Source organism: Homo sapiens, chromosome 7 (genome assembly GCF_000001405.40).
Source record: "Homo sapiens chromosome 7, GRCh38.p14 Primary Assembly".
Classification (NCBI taxonomy): Eukaryota; Metazoa; Chordata; class Mammalia; order Primates; family Hominidae; genus Homo; species Homo sapiens.
In genome coordinates, this window is record NC_000007.14 from 19,666,734 (window position 1) to 19,683,604 (window position 16,871).

Sequence of the window (16,871 nt, forward strand, 5' to 3'; positions counted from 1 at the left end):
AATGATTAAGCTGATATTGCTGTTATTAATGAAGTTTTAAAAACACTTGGACTATGTATGTATATATGTAAATGTCTGAGTCCAACAATGAGTCTAACAGTGCAAGAATTAAAAGGTAAGCTTTATCTTAGGTCAGTATAAATTAGCCTTGTAAAAAATATTAAGTCTGATTTTAAATGTCGTAATAAAAACCAAGATGAACAAATTGAGTAAGATCCAGTGGGAGTCTCCTGGGCTAAAAATACTTCGTTATTACACCCTGACTTACCTGACAAGTACTTGCTTAACCTAAATGGACTATCTTGAAAACCCCTTAGAGGAAAAGCTGAAGGGTAGAAAATAACTTTACTTAATGGATCGTTTAATGACATATTTATCGAAATTTTCAAACATGTCTGAAAGATGTGATATGGAATGTAGAATATCTCCTTTTAGGAAAGCATCATGATTTCACAATTTCCCTAAAGTTGCTATTTTTAGGAAAACTGAAAATCCCTTTGGAGATGATCTAAACAGTTTGTAAAAACAAACAAACAAAAAAATCAAAATTGCCACCTCTACTTTAAAGTAGCTTGTCCAAGTAGAAAGAATCTTGCTATAAATGAGGACAGCTACGATCAGCAACCTTGGGATCTTCTGGGTCCCATCTCAAAGAGCTGGTATCAAGTCCTCTTTTAATTAACAATGCATTCATACAGAGTATAGTACATAAGACATTTTGTTAGGAAAACCATCCTTACATTTAAAATTCAAACTGGGCCAGGCATGGTGGCTTATGCCTGTAATGCTGGCACTTTGGGAGGCCAAGGCAGGCAAATCACCTGAGGTCAGAAGTTTGAGACCAGCCGGGCCAACATGGCAAAAACCTGTATCTACTAAAAATACAAAAATTAGCCAGGACTGGTGGCATGGGCACGTAATCCCAGCTATTCGGGAGGCTGAGGCAGGAGAATCGCTTGAACCCGGGAGGCAGAGGTTGCAGTGAGCCGAGATAGCACCACTGCACTCCATCCTGGGCAACAGAGTGAGACTCCATCTCAAAAAAAATTAAAAAATAGAATTCAAACTGGAGGAAAAATGAAATGGCATTTTCTAAGAGTTCAAACTAAACATAAGGAAAGAAATAATGACTGAATTATTTTGAAAAACTTTTTGAAATTCAGGAAGAGTGAAGATTTTCCTAATCTAGATGAATTCAAGACCATTTGATATGGTTTTGATCTGTGTCCTCGCCCAAATCTCATGTAGAATTATAATCCTCAATGTTGGCAGTGATGCCTGGTGGGAGGTGATTGGTTCATGGGGGTGGTTTCTCATGAATGATTTAACACCATCCTGCTTAGTGCTGTTCTCCTGATAGTGAGTGAGTTCTCATGAGATCTGGTTGCTTAAAAGTGTCTAGCGTCTTCTCCCATCTCTCTCTTCCTTCTGCTCCAGCCTTTTCCTTCTGAAGTGCCTTGCTCCCTGTTTGCCTTTCACCACGACTGGAAGTTTCCTCCAGCCTCCGCAGAAGCAGAAGCCACAATGCTTCCTGTACAGCCTGCAGAACTGTGAGCCAATTAAACCTCTTATCTTTATAAATTACCCAGTCTCAGGTATTTCTTTATAACAGTGCAAGAAAGAACTAATATAATATTGTACTATTTGAAAAGTGATTGCAGAGCTTGAAAGAAGTGTGCTTGAGCCTGTAAAATTAGGCACTAGACTTAACTACATTTCTTTGAGTACCTAATGGTGCAGAAAATGGTCACGAGAACTGGGGAGAAATTATCAAAATTTTCTTTATTGTACATATATATGCACAACATACATTCATTCATTTTCTCACTGATGGAGAATTTGGATGTGTTAAAACACTGTGTATTTTATTTTTTTTTTAAGTAGTGCATGAGAAAAGAGAAAGAATAAAACTTATAAGAAGAATATATTGAATTTAACGTTTCTAACAATTGAATGTTTATGACCCCCATATTTTTAAGTTAAATACTGTGAAAAGGATTTTTTTGGTGCGCAATTGTATTTTAATGCATTTATATTGATATAACACCACAATCAAAATACAGACTAGTTCTATTACACCGCAGAACTTTTTCTTCTGCTTTTTTTTTTTTCTAGTCAAACCATCTCTCCATTACTCAATCTAGCAACTACTGCTCTTGTCCCTGTCTTTACAGATTTCTCTTTCCCAGAATGTTATTAAGTAAAATCATATAGTATGTAACTGTTCGAGACTGGCTTCCTTCATTCAACAGAAACTGCCTTTGAGATTCATCTATATTGTTGCATGTGTTGATGATTTATTTTTTTTATAGCTAAGCAGTATTCCATTGTATGGATGTATCTATGGATGAGAGTTTGTATGATGCACTTATCCATTGGAATACCTTTGGACTGTTTTTAATTTCTAATGATTATTAATAGAGTTGCTATAAACATTCATGTACAGGTTCCCAAACCTAAGTTTTTGTATCTCCAGGGTAAATAATAAGGAATCGATTTGTTGACTCAAATGGTAAGTATAAGTTTAAGTTTACCTAAAACCACCAATCTGTTTTCCTGAATAGCTGTACATTTTTCATTTGCACTAGCAATGTGTGAAATATCTACGTGTTCTGAATCCTTGCTAGCACTTGGTTTTGTCAGTTTATTTTGTTTGTTTGTTTTAGCGGTTCTACTAGGTATGTCATAGGACTTGGTGTGTCACTGTGCTTTTAACTGGCATTACTCTAATGCTAATATGATATTGAGCATCTTTTCATGTGCTTATTTGCCATCCCTATATCTCTTTTGGTAAAGTGTCTGTTGAAAATGTTTGCCTGCTACCCGTTTTTTATTGCTTTTTTTTTTTTTTTTTTTTTTTTTTACTGTGGAGTTTAACTGTTACATATTCAGAATGTAAGTACTTTGGTGGATATATGATTTTAAAATACACCTGAACGTTATTTGCAGATTCCATAGTGCACATTGGTCTGCTCACTAAAACTTAATAATAACTCCAAGTTAATACTCTCACCATCTTTTTGCAGTAATTCACAGGCATGCAAAGAGTGGTAAAACATTTGTGTTGCCTAGCATTCCTCACCAAGGTTGAATAAGGTGACACTTTGCTTTCTTGCTTCAGCTCTCATAGTAAAGCATCCTTTTTGCAGCGTACTTAATTACATATTTTTCACTCTTTTTTTTTTTTTTTGGAATTCAGTCATTTAGAATGGCCCCGAACATAGTGCTGAAGTGCCGTCTAGTGATCTCGAGCACAAGAAGGCTGTGATGTGCCTTACAGAAAAAATGTTATGAGTTAGACAAGGTTCATTCAGGCGTGACTTTAGAGCTGTTGGCCGTGAATTCAATGTTAAAGAGCAAACAATACTTATTAAATAAGGCATATTTAAACAGAAACAAACATATAACAAGGATGTGTATTGATCAGTTAATGAAAATATTGTGACCAGAGAATTAACCATGTATTTCCTCCAGAAGCAATTATTCGGTACTCACCAATTCATTGTTCATGGTACTTTATAGCACATAACCAGCGCAAATAACAAGAAGCGACTGTGCTTTCTCCCAGTCTAGAGCTTGTCTTATCAGTCTCTGAAAAATGTCTTTCAGAAAGCAAATTTAAAAATTTACAAGAAAGTTTTAAATTCTCATAAAATCCAGCTTAGGTTTTATTTTCTCTGTGGATCAAGCTTTTAGTGCCATACATAAAAACACTGCTTAAATCAATGTCAGGAAAATGTTCACTTATGTTTTATTCAAAAAATTTATAGTTTGAAATTTTTTGTTTAGATGTATCTATTTTGAGTTAATATTTTATATAGGGTGTGAGATTTAGATTGAGGTGTTCTGACTGATTTATATAAAATTGTTCCAATACCATGTGTTCAAAGGACAGTCCTTACTTTATTGAAATGTCTTTGCAACTTAAATCAACTAGTAGACTTCCAGTTTCAACCCTGACATATATAGAGCTTGAAAGTTGTCACTCCTACCCTTACATCGTGAAAAAGAAGGATAAACTGAAAATCAAGACTTTCCTTGGACCCATCAGACAACTGAGGTTGTAGGACAAACCTCCACCCTGAAATCTGGAGAGACAGACACATCCAGAGAGACACAGCCAAGATCCGCTTACCTTGGAGTCATAATCTGATAGAAATATTTTATGGTCATTTTAATGAATTGCTGGAGATGGAGTGTGGACTGGTGTGATATGAGAAACTACTGGAGGTCATAGTCATAGGGCAGCCTCCAGGAATCACAGCATGTTTATATGATGAAGATCCAAGAAAGATTCCTTGTGGCTCTAGCAGAGAAAGGAAGTATTAATCATTCTGAAGTATTCTGAGAACCTTCTCCATAATAAAGGCCTAATCTCTGGGAGAAAAGACTGGGCTGTAGTTTACCCCAAGGTATTATTCCCACTTCAGCCCTCCTTCCAGGCTTCCTGTCTCACCAAAGAGAGGGGAGAAGACATAGTCAATAGGCGTCAGGGCTTCAAGAAAATTGTTTGGAAATGCTGCAGTTAGTCTCAGAAATGAAAGAAGGGTCACCACTACAGATTTCACTGACATTAAAATTATAACAAAGTTATACTATGAACACTCTATGTCCATACATTTGATAGCTTAAATGAAATGAATAAATGTCTTGAAAAACATACCCAAAGAGAAAGCAATAACCTCAGTAGCCCTAAGTATATTAAGGAAATTTAACCAATAATTAATAACCTTCCAAAATAAAACACCAGGCCCAGTTGGTTTCACTGGTGAATTTTAACAAACATTTAGTCAGAAATAATACTAATTCTCCACAATGTCTTCCATAAAAAATAAGCATAAAGAATACTCTTATTCTATGAGGCCAGTGTTACCCTAATTTCAAAGCCAGATAGAGACCTAACATAATAGAAAAACTACAGACCAGTATCTCTAATGAACATATACTCAAAAATCTTCAACTAAATATTAGCAAGTTGAATCTAATAATATAAAAAGATACACCTGGATGAAGTGGGATTTATTCAATATGGACAAGCCTTGTTCAACATTAAAAACCATTCAACATAATCTGACTTGTCAAAGGATATAAAAGAAAAAGGATATAATCATACACTGATGCAGGAAAAACGTTTGAAAAAAATCCAATTCATGATAAAATTTTTAAGCAAACTAAGAATAGAGAAAATTTTCTAAAATTTTTTTGCTAGAAAAAATAAGAGTTATGCAAAAAAAAAATCTACATACCACCATTCTGAAACAAGCCTCTTTTTGAAACAATTAATACTTAATGTTGAAAGACTGAATGCTTTTTCCCTAAGTTTGGGAAAATGTAAGGATGTCCTTTCACAGCAGTCATAGTCAGCGTCATAAGGGAAGCTCTATTTAGAGCACTAAAATAAGAAAGAAAAGGTATGCATATTGAAAAAAGCTGTTTTTATTTGGAAATGACATGATTGCCTATGCAGAAATTTCAAATAATCTACGCAATAATTTCTGCAACCAATAGGTTAATACAGCAAGGTCACAGATTATAAAGTGAATATATAAAAGCCACTTTCTTATCTATACACCATCAGTGAACATTGGAACTTAAAATTAAACAATACATTTACAATAGTGCCAGAAATGAAATACTTGTAGATATAATTCTAACTAAGTATGAATACCATCTGAATGCAGAAACTGCAAAACATTGAATGAAGAAATCATAGATATAAGTAAATTGAGAGATATTCTATATTAATGAATTTGAAGGTGTAATATTACTGAGATGTTAAATCTTCCTTTAATGGAATTCTAATAAAATTCCCATCAAGTTAAGATTTTTTTAAAAGCCTCTCAATGAACAAATTGGGCAAAAGATCTAAATAGACACCTCTCCAAAGAGATAGACGGATGGCAAATAAGCTTATGAAAAGATACTCAATATACATTAGGGATATACAAATTAAAACAACCATGAGATATGACTGCACACATTAAAATGTCTAAAATAAAATAAAATAAAAACCCTGACAATACTAATTACTGATAAGGTTGCAGAGCAACAGAAAGTCCATTGCTGATGTGAATGTAAAATGGTACAACAAATTTGGAAGACAGCTTGACAGTTTCTTACAAAGTAAAATGTAGCCTTATTATGCAATTTAGCAGTTTTCTTCTAGGTATTTAGTCAATTGATTTGAAATGTTGTTAGGAGCTTTATTCATAATTGCCAAACTGAAAGGAGCCAAATCTCCTTCAAAAGGTGAAATAAACTTCCATTCAGTGGAATAGTACTCAGCAATAAAAAGGAATGAGCTATCAAGCCATGAAAATACATGTATTCATTTTAAATGCATATTGCCAAATAAAAGAAAGCATTCTGAAAGGCTATATATATTGTATGATTTGGTTATTTGCCATTCATGAACTGTCAAAACTGTAGAGATGACAAAAATATTAGTGGCTAAGAGAGGCTTAGAACAAGAGGAAGAGTTAAGTAAGTGAAGCACCATGCATTTTTTTGAGCAATGTCACTATTTTTATGACACCATAATGATGGATACAAAATACTGTGTATTTGTCAAAACTCACAGAACTTTACAGCAAAAAGAGAGGCTTAAATATGCAAATTTCTTTAAAAATTATTTAAGAGGTCATAGGACTCCTAGGATGAAATTTAGAATGTAACAGTAGCTCTGTCATCTTATTATTTCTTTACCATTTGTTCTCTTTATTCTTTGTTTCTCTGTTTCCTAGCTTCTGCCTTATTTTGAATTATTTGAATAATTTTTAATATTCCACTTCAGCTATATCTCTTCGAATAGTTTTTCATAGTGGTTGCTCTAGGAATTAAAATAGACATGGTTAACTTTTCATCATCTACTCTGAATTAATATTTTAATTTAAAGGGAATGTAGAAACCTTATCATATAGATAGGTCCCTTTACTCTGCTTCATTTGTCTTGCAGGTATCATAAGTGTTGCACATATATACACTGAAGCACCATCATATATATTTTATAGAACTTTAGAGGAGAAATATTATCTATCGTATTTACCCCGATGTTTGCCATTTTCATTGTTCTCCCTTTATTCTTAAAATTCTTTCTCTCTAGTAGCAATTCCCTTTCATCTAAAGATCTTTTAGTATTTCTTTAAGAGTAAGTCTGCTATTAACAAATTCCCTCAGCTTTTCTCAATCTGAGAAGGTATTTATTTATCTTTCAATATTTTAAAATCTTTTTCCTCTTGTTCAGATTAGATCATTTATATTAATCTGTCTTTAAGTGTACTGATTTCCTCTGTCATCTTCATTCTGCTGTCAAGCATACAGTGAAATTGTTTTCACTTGTAATTTTCAGTTCCAAAATGTCCATTTGGTTTCTTTCTATATCTTTCTCTGCTGAGACTTTCCAGCTTTCCATTCATTTCAGGTGTGTTCAATGTACTTACTTTTTGGAACATGGCTATAATAGCTATTTTACAATCCTAGTCTAATAATTTCAATTGCTATGTGTTGGTATTTATTGTATTTTACCTAGCAACATGCTGAGATTTTCCTGGTTCTTATATATTGAACAATTTTGGATTATATCTTGGGTCTTTTGAATATTATATGACTCTGGGTTTTATTTTAGTCCTATGGAAAAATACTCATTTATTTATTTACTTGCTTGTTTGGGCATGAAATTGGCTTGTGAGATTAAAGCAGCAAGTTTATACCTGCTTTCTGTGGGCTGTAGTTTCAATGTTAGTTCAATTTCAAATGCAACACGATAGCTACTATGAGACGTGGATGGCAGTCTAAATTCACAGTTCAGTTCTTGAATCCTTCTACACACTGTTTAGAGTCAAATTTGAAAATAGTTACAGGGCAAGGACAAAAGCAAATACAAAACTTTAGAGTATTGCTTTCTTGAGCTCTCTCCTCTCTATACTCTCCCAGTGGTTTCTAACTCCCAGAGGCCCTTCTCACTGATCCTCTTCATAAAAAGCTGTGGCTTTAGTTTCCTACTGTGTCATGCATTCCTGAAAATGTGTCTGCATCCAGAGCCAAGTGGTGAGAGGGTAAAGAGAGAAAAATAAATTATTGGACATTCTCCCCTCTTGAGATCAGATTCTCTGGTCAACGATAAAACGCCACTCTCTTAAGTTTTAGGCTGTTGACTACTCACTGATGCTGTTGCTGCCATTGCTGCTACAGGATTACTTGGAAGGTGGCGCCAAAAGTAACACACACACAAAAAAGAAGAAAATTGTCCCACTCTCGTTGACTCACAGGGGCCTCCTTTCCTGCTCATCGGATGGCCTAGAAATAGGTTCCTTTGGAACTCTTTCTGTCTGCACCCAGTGTACATTTCTTGACTGCTTTTAAGTTTAGGTCAGAAGATACTGGGGGAAAAAAATGAGAAACTCACTATTGGTTGTATGGTATATTACTTTCTAGTTTCCTTTGCCAATTCACTGGTTGACAATAACCAGAAGCACCTCTAAAAAGTATTAAATGTAATTATTTTTCATGTGATAGCATTTTAGTTAATGTATATTGTGAAAGACTTTGGAGTGTACTTCAAGAGCTCCTTCATCTGTGTGATGACTCTAGGGATAAAATGGAATTAGATAGACATAAGGTGGAAGGGATAATTATTTTCTGAGAAAAAAATATTGCACTGAATTTCCAAATATATTAAGAACTTAGCAATGAAATATTAATAAACAAAATAAATCAGTTGATCTGTGATTTATAGTTAGAAACACTAATTGAAACGAAATAGCATCAAACAAATGAAGAACTGAGTTTCCAAATAAAAATCAGAAAGGGTAGGAAGCTCTCATCAAGCATATTAGCATTTATATTTGTTGATTTTTAAAGTTCTTTTGATTATTCTGCTATAGGAATGACTGTTTATATTATATAATATACAAAAGATGCAAGCAAGAAGAAGAGAAGGTAAAATGGTACATGTACATGGGAATGATGTGGAAAAGTTAATTTGATTAAAAAAGAGACAGTATCATAAATTATTTCAACCATTGTGGAAGACAGTGTGGCTATTCCTTAAAGACCTACAGAAACACCACTTGACCCAGCAATCCCATTAATGGATATATACCCAAAGGGATATAAAAAATTCTATTATAAATACACACAGACGTGTATGTTCATTGCAGCACTATTCATAATAGCAAAGACATGGAATCAACCTAAATGCCCATCAATGATAGAATAAAGAAAATGTGATACATATGCACCATGGACTACTATGCAGCCATAAAAAAGAATGACATCATGGCCTTTGCAGTGACATGGATGGAGCTGCAGACCATTATCCTTAGCAAACTAATGCAGGAACAGAAAACCAAACACCACATGCTCTCACTTATAAGTGTGAGCTAAATGATGACAACACATAGACACATAGAGGGGAAACAACACACACTGGGGCCTGTCAGTGGGTGAAGGGTGGAAGGAGGGGGAGGATCAGGAAGAATAACTAATGGGTACCAGGCTTAATACCTGGGTGACAAAATAATCTGTACAACAGACCTCCAAGACACAAGTTCACCCATGTAACAAACCTGCACTCATACCCCTGAACTTAAAAAAGAAGATATGAAAAAGTAAGAGGAGTTAGGAGACAAGAACCATGAGAAAGATATTATTACTACTCCCTGTGTGGATTGTAAAATTGGAATGTTTATTTTAATTCTCTACAGGAGCAAAAAATTAAAAAATAATGAATACATTTTTCTAAATGGGGATATGAGAAATTAAAGTTCCTCATTAATGTTCTCTTATTTCCACTCATTAGTAACATTCAGAAGGCCCAGGATACTTTCCTTTCTTTAGTCTCATTCTATTCATAGAAAACTTGAGCTATTAGAACTTGTTACCTGGTTACCTCTAGAAAAAATTATATGATGTCTTATTAAGTTTATTTCAGATTTTAAAAAGGATAAAAATGCAGTTGACTTATTACAAATAAAATCACTTCTTCTATGAGATAACTTTAATCCAATTACATTTATCCTTGTGTTTTATGTAATGATCTATGTACATTTTTTGCTCAATTTTACACTATTATAATCAATTTTACTCTGCCTTAATTTGTACATCTTCAAGTTATTCTGAGGTTACTTTGCCATCCATTTAACAGTCATGAAGTCCTATTATTGAGTTATTACATTACTTTAATCTTGCTTAAATCTGTCTGGTCCTTAATTATTTCTCTTCTCAAAATAATCTTCAATTTGTCAGCTAGGCCCATAGTTTTATATATACTATTATACTTTTTACCATAATAGCATGGCTTTAACTTTTAACTATAATAAGTACTTGAAAGTTTTAAAGATATTTTTCTTATTGACTTTTAGGATTGGACATAGTTTGCATTAGAAAAACCATGAGCACAATTGCCAAAAAACATTGGCCATAATACTTCTCTCTTCCACATTCATTATATCACACATTTAGAATTTGAATGACAAATAATTGGAACTGAAATATAATAATGTAACAGACCAGCTGTCCTGCAGCGTTAAAATAGAGTGAGGAAGAATACAACTATAAACACTGTTTCCTCTTTCGAAATAACTCATTTATCCTTCACTTTAGAAAGCATAAAATATAGTAGTCCCCTTTTATCTGTGGTTTTGCTTTATCTGATTTCAGTTACTTGTGGTCAACCAGTCTGAAAACATTGTATGGAAAATTTCAGTAATAAATACCTCATAAGTTTTAAATTGTGCACCATTTTTAGTAGCTTGATGAAATCTCACACTGTTCTGTTCTGTCTTTTCTTGATCCCAAGAAGGGTAGGCCATGTGCAGTGGCTCATGCTTCTAATTCCAGCAATTTGGAAAGCCAACGCTGGAGGATCGCTTGAGCCCAGGAGTTCAAGGCTGCTTTGAGCTATGATCACATCCCTGCACTCCAGCCTGGGTAATAGAGCAAGACCCTCTCTCTTAAACAAGGAAACAAACAAAAACAAACAAAAAACTAGAAGGAAGTGCAGTACAATAAGATATTTTGAGGGAGACACCATATTTATATAACTCTTATTACAGTACTCTTATTACAAATTGAACTTTATCATAGGCATGTATGTATAGGAAAATACATAGTATATGTATATATATATATATATATATATATATAGGGTTTGGCAGTATCCACAATTTCAGGCATTCACTGGGAGCTTTGGAATATATCCCTCATGGGGACTACTGTATTTTTATAATATTTACTAACTCAATTGCTGACTAATTCATAATAAAAACCATTGTTCATCTGCTCCCCGTCCCATATACATACCTGTTTTATGTGTTTTTTGGGTTTGGTGTTTAAAAGACTAAACTAAATCTTACTAAGGTAGAGTTCCTTAGGTTCTTTGAGAAATGTATTAAATATTTTATGAAAGTAACGTCATAGTGACTTCCAGATTTACTCTAAAAAATCTTGCCCATTTTGTGAGAAAGGTGACATAATCGGCTGTCCAAAGATGGGTCTCTACTATGAAGGAAAGTGAACCAATCTGCGTAATTTGGCCATTGTGGTGAGCAAAACGGACCATTGCTCAAAAGATTTTCTTTAGTTCAAGAGTTTCTTTGTAGAGGAGGAGACAATGTAAGGACCATCCGTTAATCATACTTATAGCCTTCTTGGCACTCAACAGAACACCTGCAAATAGTAGGCATTTAATGCACAGTTTTTTTTTTGTTTTTAGTTGGTTTGTTTGAGACGGGATTTTGCTCTTGTTGCCCAGGCTGGAGGGCAATAGCACAATCTCGGCTCACTGAAACCTCCACCTCCCGAGTTCAAGTGATTCTCCTGCCTAAGCCTCCTGTGTAGCTGGGTTTAGAGGCGCCCACCAGCATGCCTGGCTAATTTTTGTATTTTTAGTAGAGATAGGGTTTCACCATGTTGGCCAGGCTGGTCTCGAACTCCTGACCTCACGTGATCCACCTGCCTCGGCCTCCCAAAGTGCTGGGATTACAGGCGTGCACCACTGCACCTGGCCAATGCACAGTTTTTAAAGTTTAAAAATAAAATGTAATACAAACCTTCTTCTCTCATCAAAATCATCCATTTAACTTGGCCACTGTGTTATAAAATAGGGAAAAGAAAAAACAAGAGGTAGGAAAGATGTTATAGTTTCAAATTACTGAATAAATAAGATCCATTCATATCTAGAACAGGGTAGGTATAAGTCTAAATATTCTCCTCAAATAGTGAACATGCTACATACAAGTGTATCTTCACAGTGCCCATATGCAGCTGAGTAATCACTAAATTCAGCCTTGTTCAAATGAGGGAGAAGAGTGGTATCTTACTTATTCTAGCTGTGCATATCTATCAGAAATCTGAGCAACTTTCTATCATACTTAAAACAATATTTTGAAAGCCTGCTTAAACAATTCAACAAGCTTACTTCATCAACATGTCAAGTCTTTACTATATCCAGTCATTAGCAATAGTAAAGAGCTCTTTGGTTGAAAGAAATGGAACCCCTTCAAAAAGGCCCAAGTTAATAGGATGTTTATCACAAAGAGAAAAATGATCTCATGGAACACAACAGCAAGCAACATTGCTAGGCCTTCAATGAAGTAGATGTTTGCCTGGCAGTTAGCCTCTCACACTCTATCCTTGTGAAAAGATACAATGTATCATTTTCTCATAGACGATGCTCTCTTGCAAAGTTCTAGATTTTACTTTTTAGTGATTGTAGCTTGCACCAGAAGAATCTGGTTGGCTCTTTTTCTGACATTCTCTCTTCTCTCCATAAATTTACAGTTCCAGTTTCCAACAGAAATATAACATGGTGTTTCAGTCTATGTTTTTATATCCCAACATTTTTGGAAAGAGAACATGGTTATTCCAGCTTGGGTCATTGTTCATCCATGATCAAATCAATACGACTAGAAAACTGTAGTTGTATGATACAAAGGTTGCCCTTCTTAGGACTATGGGCCAGAACTGGGTTAAAAAGGATGTAAATGCTAAGAGAGGAAATTCATTTCTAGTTACATCTAAAGTGCATTTCCCTTGCCACTTACCAGTAATGAGGATTTTAAATTACACACACACACATTACCTTATGCTACTAACTCACGTGCTTTTATTGCAGTACTGGACTTCCAGGCTAGGTATTTTTAGAGATTTTTTAGTATTATATATGTCTGAGAATAAAAAGAAAGCACACCTGGAATCAATAATTTAAACTTACTGGAAGATAAAATAACCAAAAATTAACATCTGGAAACTACTACATCATCTGTCAAACAGGAATGATACTATTTGATCTCATTATGGCATATGAGTTGAAAACCTATGAATATATTCTTTTTTTGTAATTTGAAACCAAAATAGATAAGGCATATTACATGTGCCACTTAATACACAAACATTTAAAATACTGTTTTCTAATTAAGTCTTCAGTTATCCTTGATATAATTGATCATCAAATAATTATTAAGCAAACAACAGTACTTCTTTCAAAATAGTTTCTTTAGATTATTGGACATGGTTGAATAATGTCAAACGTACAAAGATATAAAATGAAATCAACTTGCTCTGAACTCATCATATCTCATTCTCCGTCTTGCTCTCTCTGCTATAGTCACACAAAAATTATTGTTGCTCTTGTTATCTTTCAGAAATATGAAACCCAGGCCACTCCTCATGTCTTTGAGCCTCTTCATTGACTGTGTCCTCACTTTGAAATTCTCTTCCTCTAGAATCTATTTCTTTCAAGTATTTGCTCTGATTTCACCTTCTAGTGAGGCCTTTACTCACTACCGTTTTTACAATTGCAATTGTTACCCTCACCACACTGACATATCTTTTGCCACTTTTTTTTTTTTTTTTTTTTTTGCCTCCACAACATTTATCATCATCTGGCATACTACCTACTTAGTTCTTTTTTGTTCTCCTCCTGCTTCTAAAATATATGCTGCATTGGCAGGCAATGTTGTCTGTTTTGTTTCCCTAATAAGTGCTCAAATCAGAGTTTATCACATGGTTGACATCCAATAAATATTGATTGCATGACTGAATGGCTCAGAAGAAAAAGAAAACACAAACAAAAAACCAGAAATCTCCAACAATCACAAGGCAAATGGCTCTTTAATGTGAGGGTACGTTCACATTTACCTCACAAAATAACTTGGGGCCACCAGAGACTATTAAGTCTAGGCCTTAATGTACATTATCATGTGACATCAAATAGGCTGTGTAGCCTGAAACCAAAATTAACAGAAAATAAATTTTTAAGTTTTAAAAGCTATGCATATGAACATGATAAATTACAAGCAAAGCTCTTTCATTTTATCAGAATTATAAAGATGTCTCAAAGAAAAATGGATAGAAACTCTTCAGTTATGATTTGTAGAACCATAATGTTCTCTGTTTGAGGTTAGATCAGTCAGTTTTATGACTTTAGTTGTTTCTGTCTATAAACTATTTGGGAAAAATCCAAAGCTCACTTTGGAATGCACGTGAAGAGATTTTACTTACTACTCCAATGTTCTCTCTTCTCTTCTCAAGTCATAGGTGTTCTTACAACTAATAGATTGAGGAGGAAAAAAAAATACATAGAAAATACATTTTAAAATGTAAGTCTTACTACACACATAATCACTTTCAAGACATTAGAAAAATGTCAGAAATAAAGTTGGCCTTAGTCTTTTCTTTTTCTTCTTCTTTTTTAAAATTCGTGCTTAGATCCCCTCCAGTTCAAGTCTGCCTGCCTTTGAAGTGTTAATAATTGTGGACGTTTTGGAAACTAAGGAGAAGTTTTCACCATTCGTTTTTTTAAATGTGTTGGCAGTACAGGTTTTATAAATTTTGAAATAAATCAAACTAAAATGTAGAGACAGTTAACAAAGAAACCCAAATTTAGGCTAAGAGCACATATTATTTCTTTTTTGCTGTCACATGGATTGGTAAAATGTATACAATCTCTAATGCTTGGCTGGAGGAAACAATACCTCAGCTTTTTTAAAGATCTGACTGCACCCACAACTCAGGCACTTTGGCAGCACCCTTTGTTTTCATTTGTTTGTAATGTATGGAGCAATAAACAGTGTGCCAGTACCCCAGGCTATAGTATCTATGGTAACTTAAAAAATTGGATCGGAGACTGGAATAAACTTTGCTGCGTCAGGGCTGGCAATAATTAATCAGTGATTTAAAAAATAAATGGCTTCTGGCTGGGCAGGGTGGCTCAAGTCTGCAATCCCAGCTCTTTGGGAGGCCGAGGCAGGCGCATCGTGAGGTCAGGAGTTCAAGACCAGCCTGGCCAACATGGTGAAACCCCATCTCTACTAAAAATACAAAAATTAGCTGAGTGTGGTGGTGGGCACCTGTAGTCCCAGCTACTCAGGAGGCTGAGACAGGAGAATCGCTTGAACCCAGGAGGCGGAGAGATTGCAGTGAGCTGAGATGGTGCCACTGCACTCCAGCCTGGGCAACAGTGCGAGACTCTGTCTGTAAATAAATAAATAAATAAATAAATAAATAAATAAATAAATAAATGGCTTCTGATATGGTTTGGATGAATCCCCACTCAGATCTCATCCTGAATTCCCACTTGTTGTGGGAGGGACCTGGTGAGAGGAAATTGAATCATAGGGGCAGGTCTTTCTCATGCTGTTCTCATGATAGTGAATAAGTCTCATGAAATTTGATGGTTATATAGAAATGGGAGTTTCCCTGCACAAGCTGTCTCTCTCTTTGCCTGCTGCCTTCTATGTAAGATGTTACTTGCTCCTCCTTGCCTTCCACCATGATTGTGAGGCCTCCCCATCTATATGGAACTGTAAGTTCAATAAACAGCTTTCTTTTGTAATTGCATGGTCTCCATTTGTCTTTATCTGCAGCATGAAAACAAACGAATACAGCTTCCTTCCCATGTTTTTTAATTTATGATTTTTAAAAGGAGGAAATGGATGATCATGTATTTCATATTATAAAATACAAACTTCTATCACTATAAATAAGTTTATAAATGCCTCTCCCAGTCCTCCCACCAGTTACGACCCCTTGTACATATTACCTTTAGGTCATGAAAACAGAACATACGTCAGTCAAGTTGATGTTCCCAACTTGACTGATACATTGAGCAACAGCCTCAGCTTGCAATTTGCTGGTAGATTCTGGTGCTATATTTACATGGAGTAGGATGACTCTCCATTACTTTATAATGTTCCTACTACTATCTTGTGCCTTTTCTCGCTCAATGGAAGATGTAACTCAGTCAAGAACCCTATGAAGAAAGAAAACACACAAAAAGAAAATTTCATCATTTCAAAATGATTATTAGGATGAAAATAATATGTATATTTGGTACCTGGGATAGAAGTCATGTTTTGGAATGTGTTCCAAGTAATAATAATTCCTCTTTTGGGGGGGAATTGTTCTCACCTTTTAACCCCTCTTTCATAAATCTGGATATCAGACAGTCATCTTAGTAATACGAGCAGTGAATCCATCCCCAAATTGGCCTGGATTCTCCCACCTGGGGATCTGCAATTGGTACTGAGAGCCAAAGAATTAATCTCCATGTGATTGGAACTGCAAAGTGACTGTATGGAATACATATGAAAGACTGAGAGAAACTACTGATGCTTTCCAATAACTCTTTTTTTTTAAAATTTTTTTTATTATACTTTAATAAATGTGTACATGTGCACATTGTGCAGGTTAGTTACATATGTATACATGTGCCATGCTGGTGCGCTGCACCCACTAACTCGTCATCTAGCATTAGGTATATCTCCCGATGCTATCCCTCCCCCCTCCCCCCACCCCACAACAGTCCCCAGAGTGTGATATTCCCCTTCCTGTGTCCATGTGATCTCATTGTTCAATTCCCACCTATGAGT

The 16,871-nt window shown here is 34.9% G+C and overlaps 1 long non-coding RNA gene across 1 annotated transcript in view; it reads left to right on the forward strand.

The window, feature by feature from the left end:
* LOC105375180 (uncharacterized) overlaps positions 1-2,818 on the forward strand; it is a 93,261-nt gene extending 90,443 nt beyond the window's left edge. Inside the window, exon 5 of the long non-coding RNA XR_007060245.1 lies at positions 1,438-2,818. This is a non-coding gene — a long non-coding RNA (uncharacterized LOC105375180). The remainder of the gene's footprint in view (positions 1-1,437) is intronic.
* Positions 2,819-16,871: the final 14,053 nt, after the last annotated feature.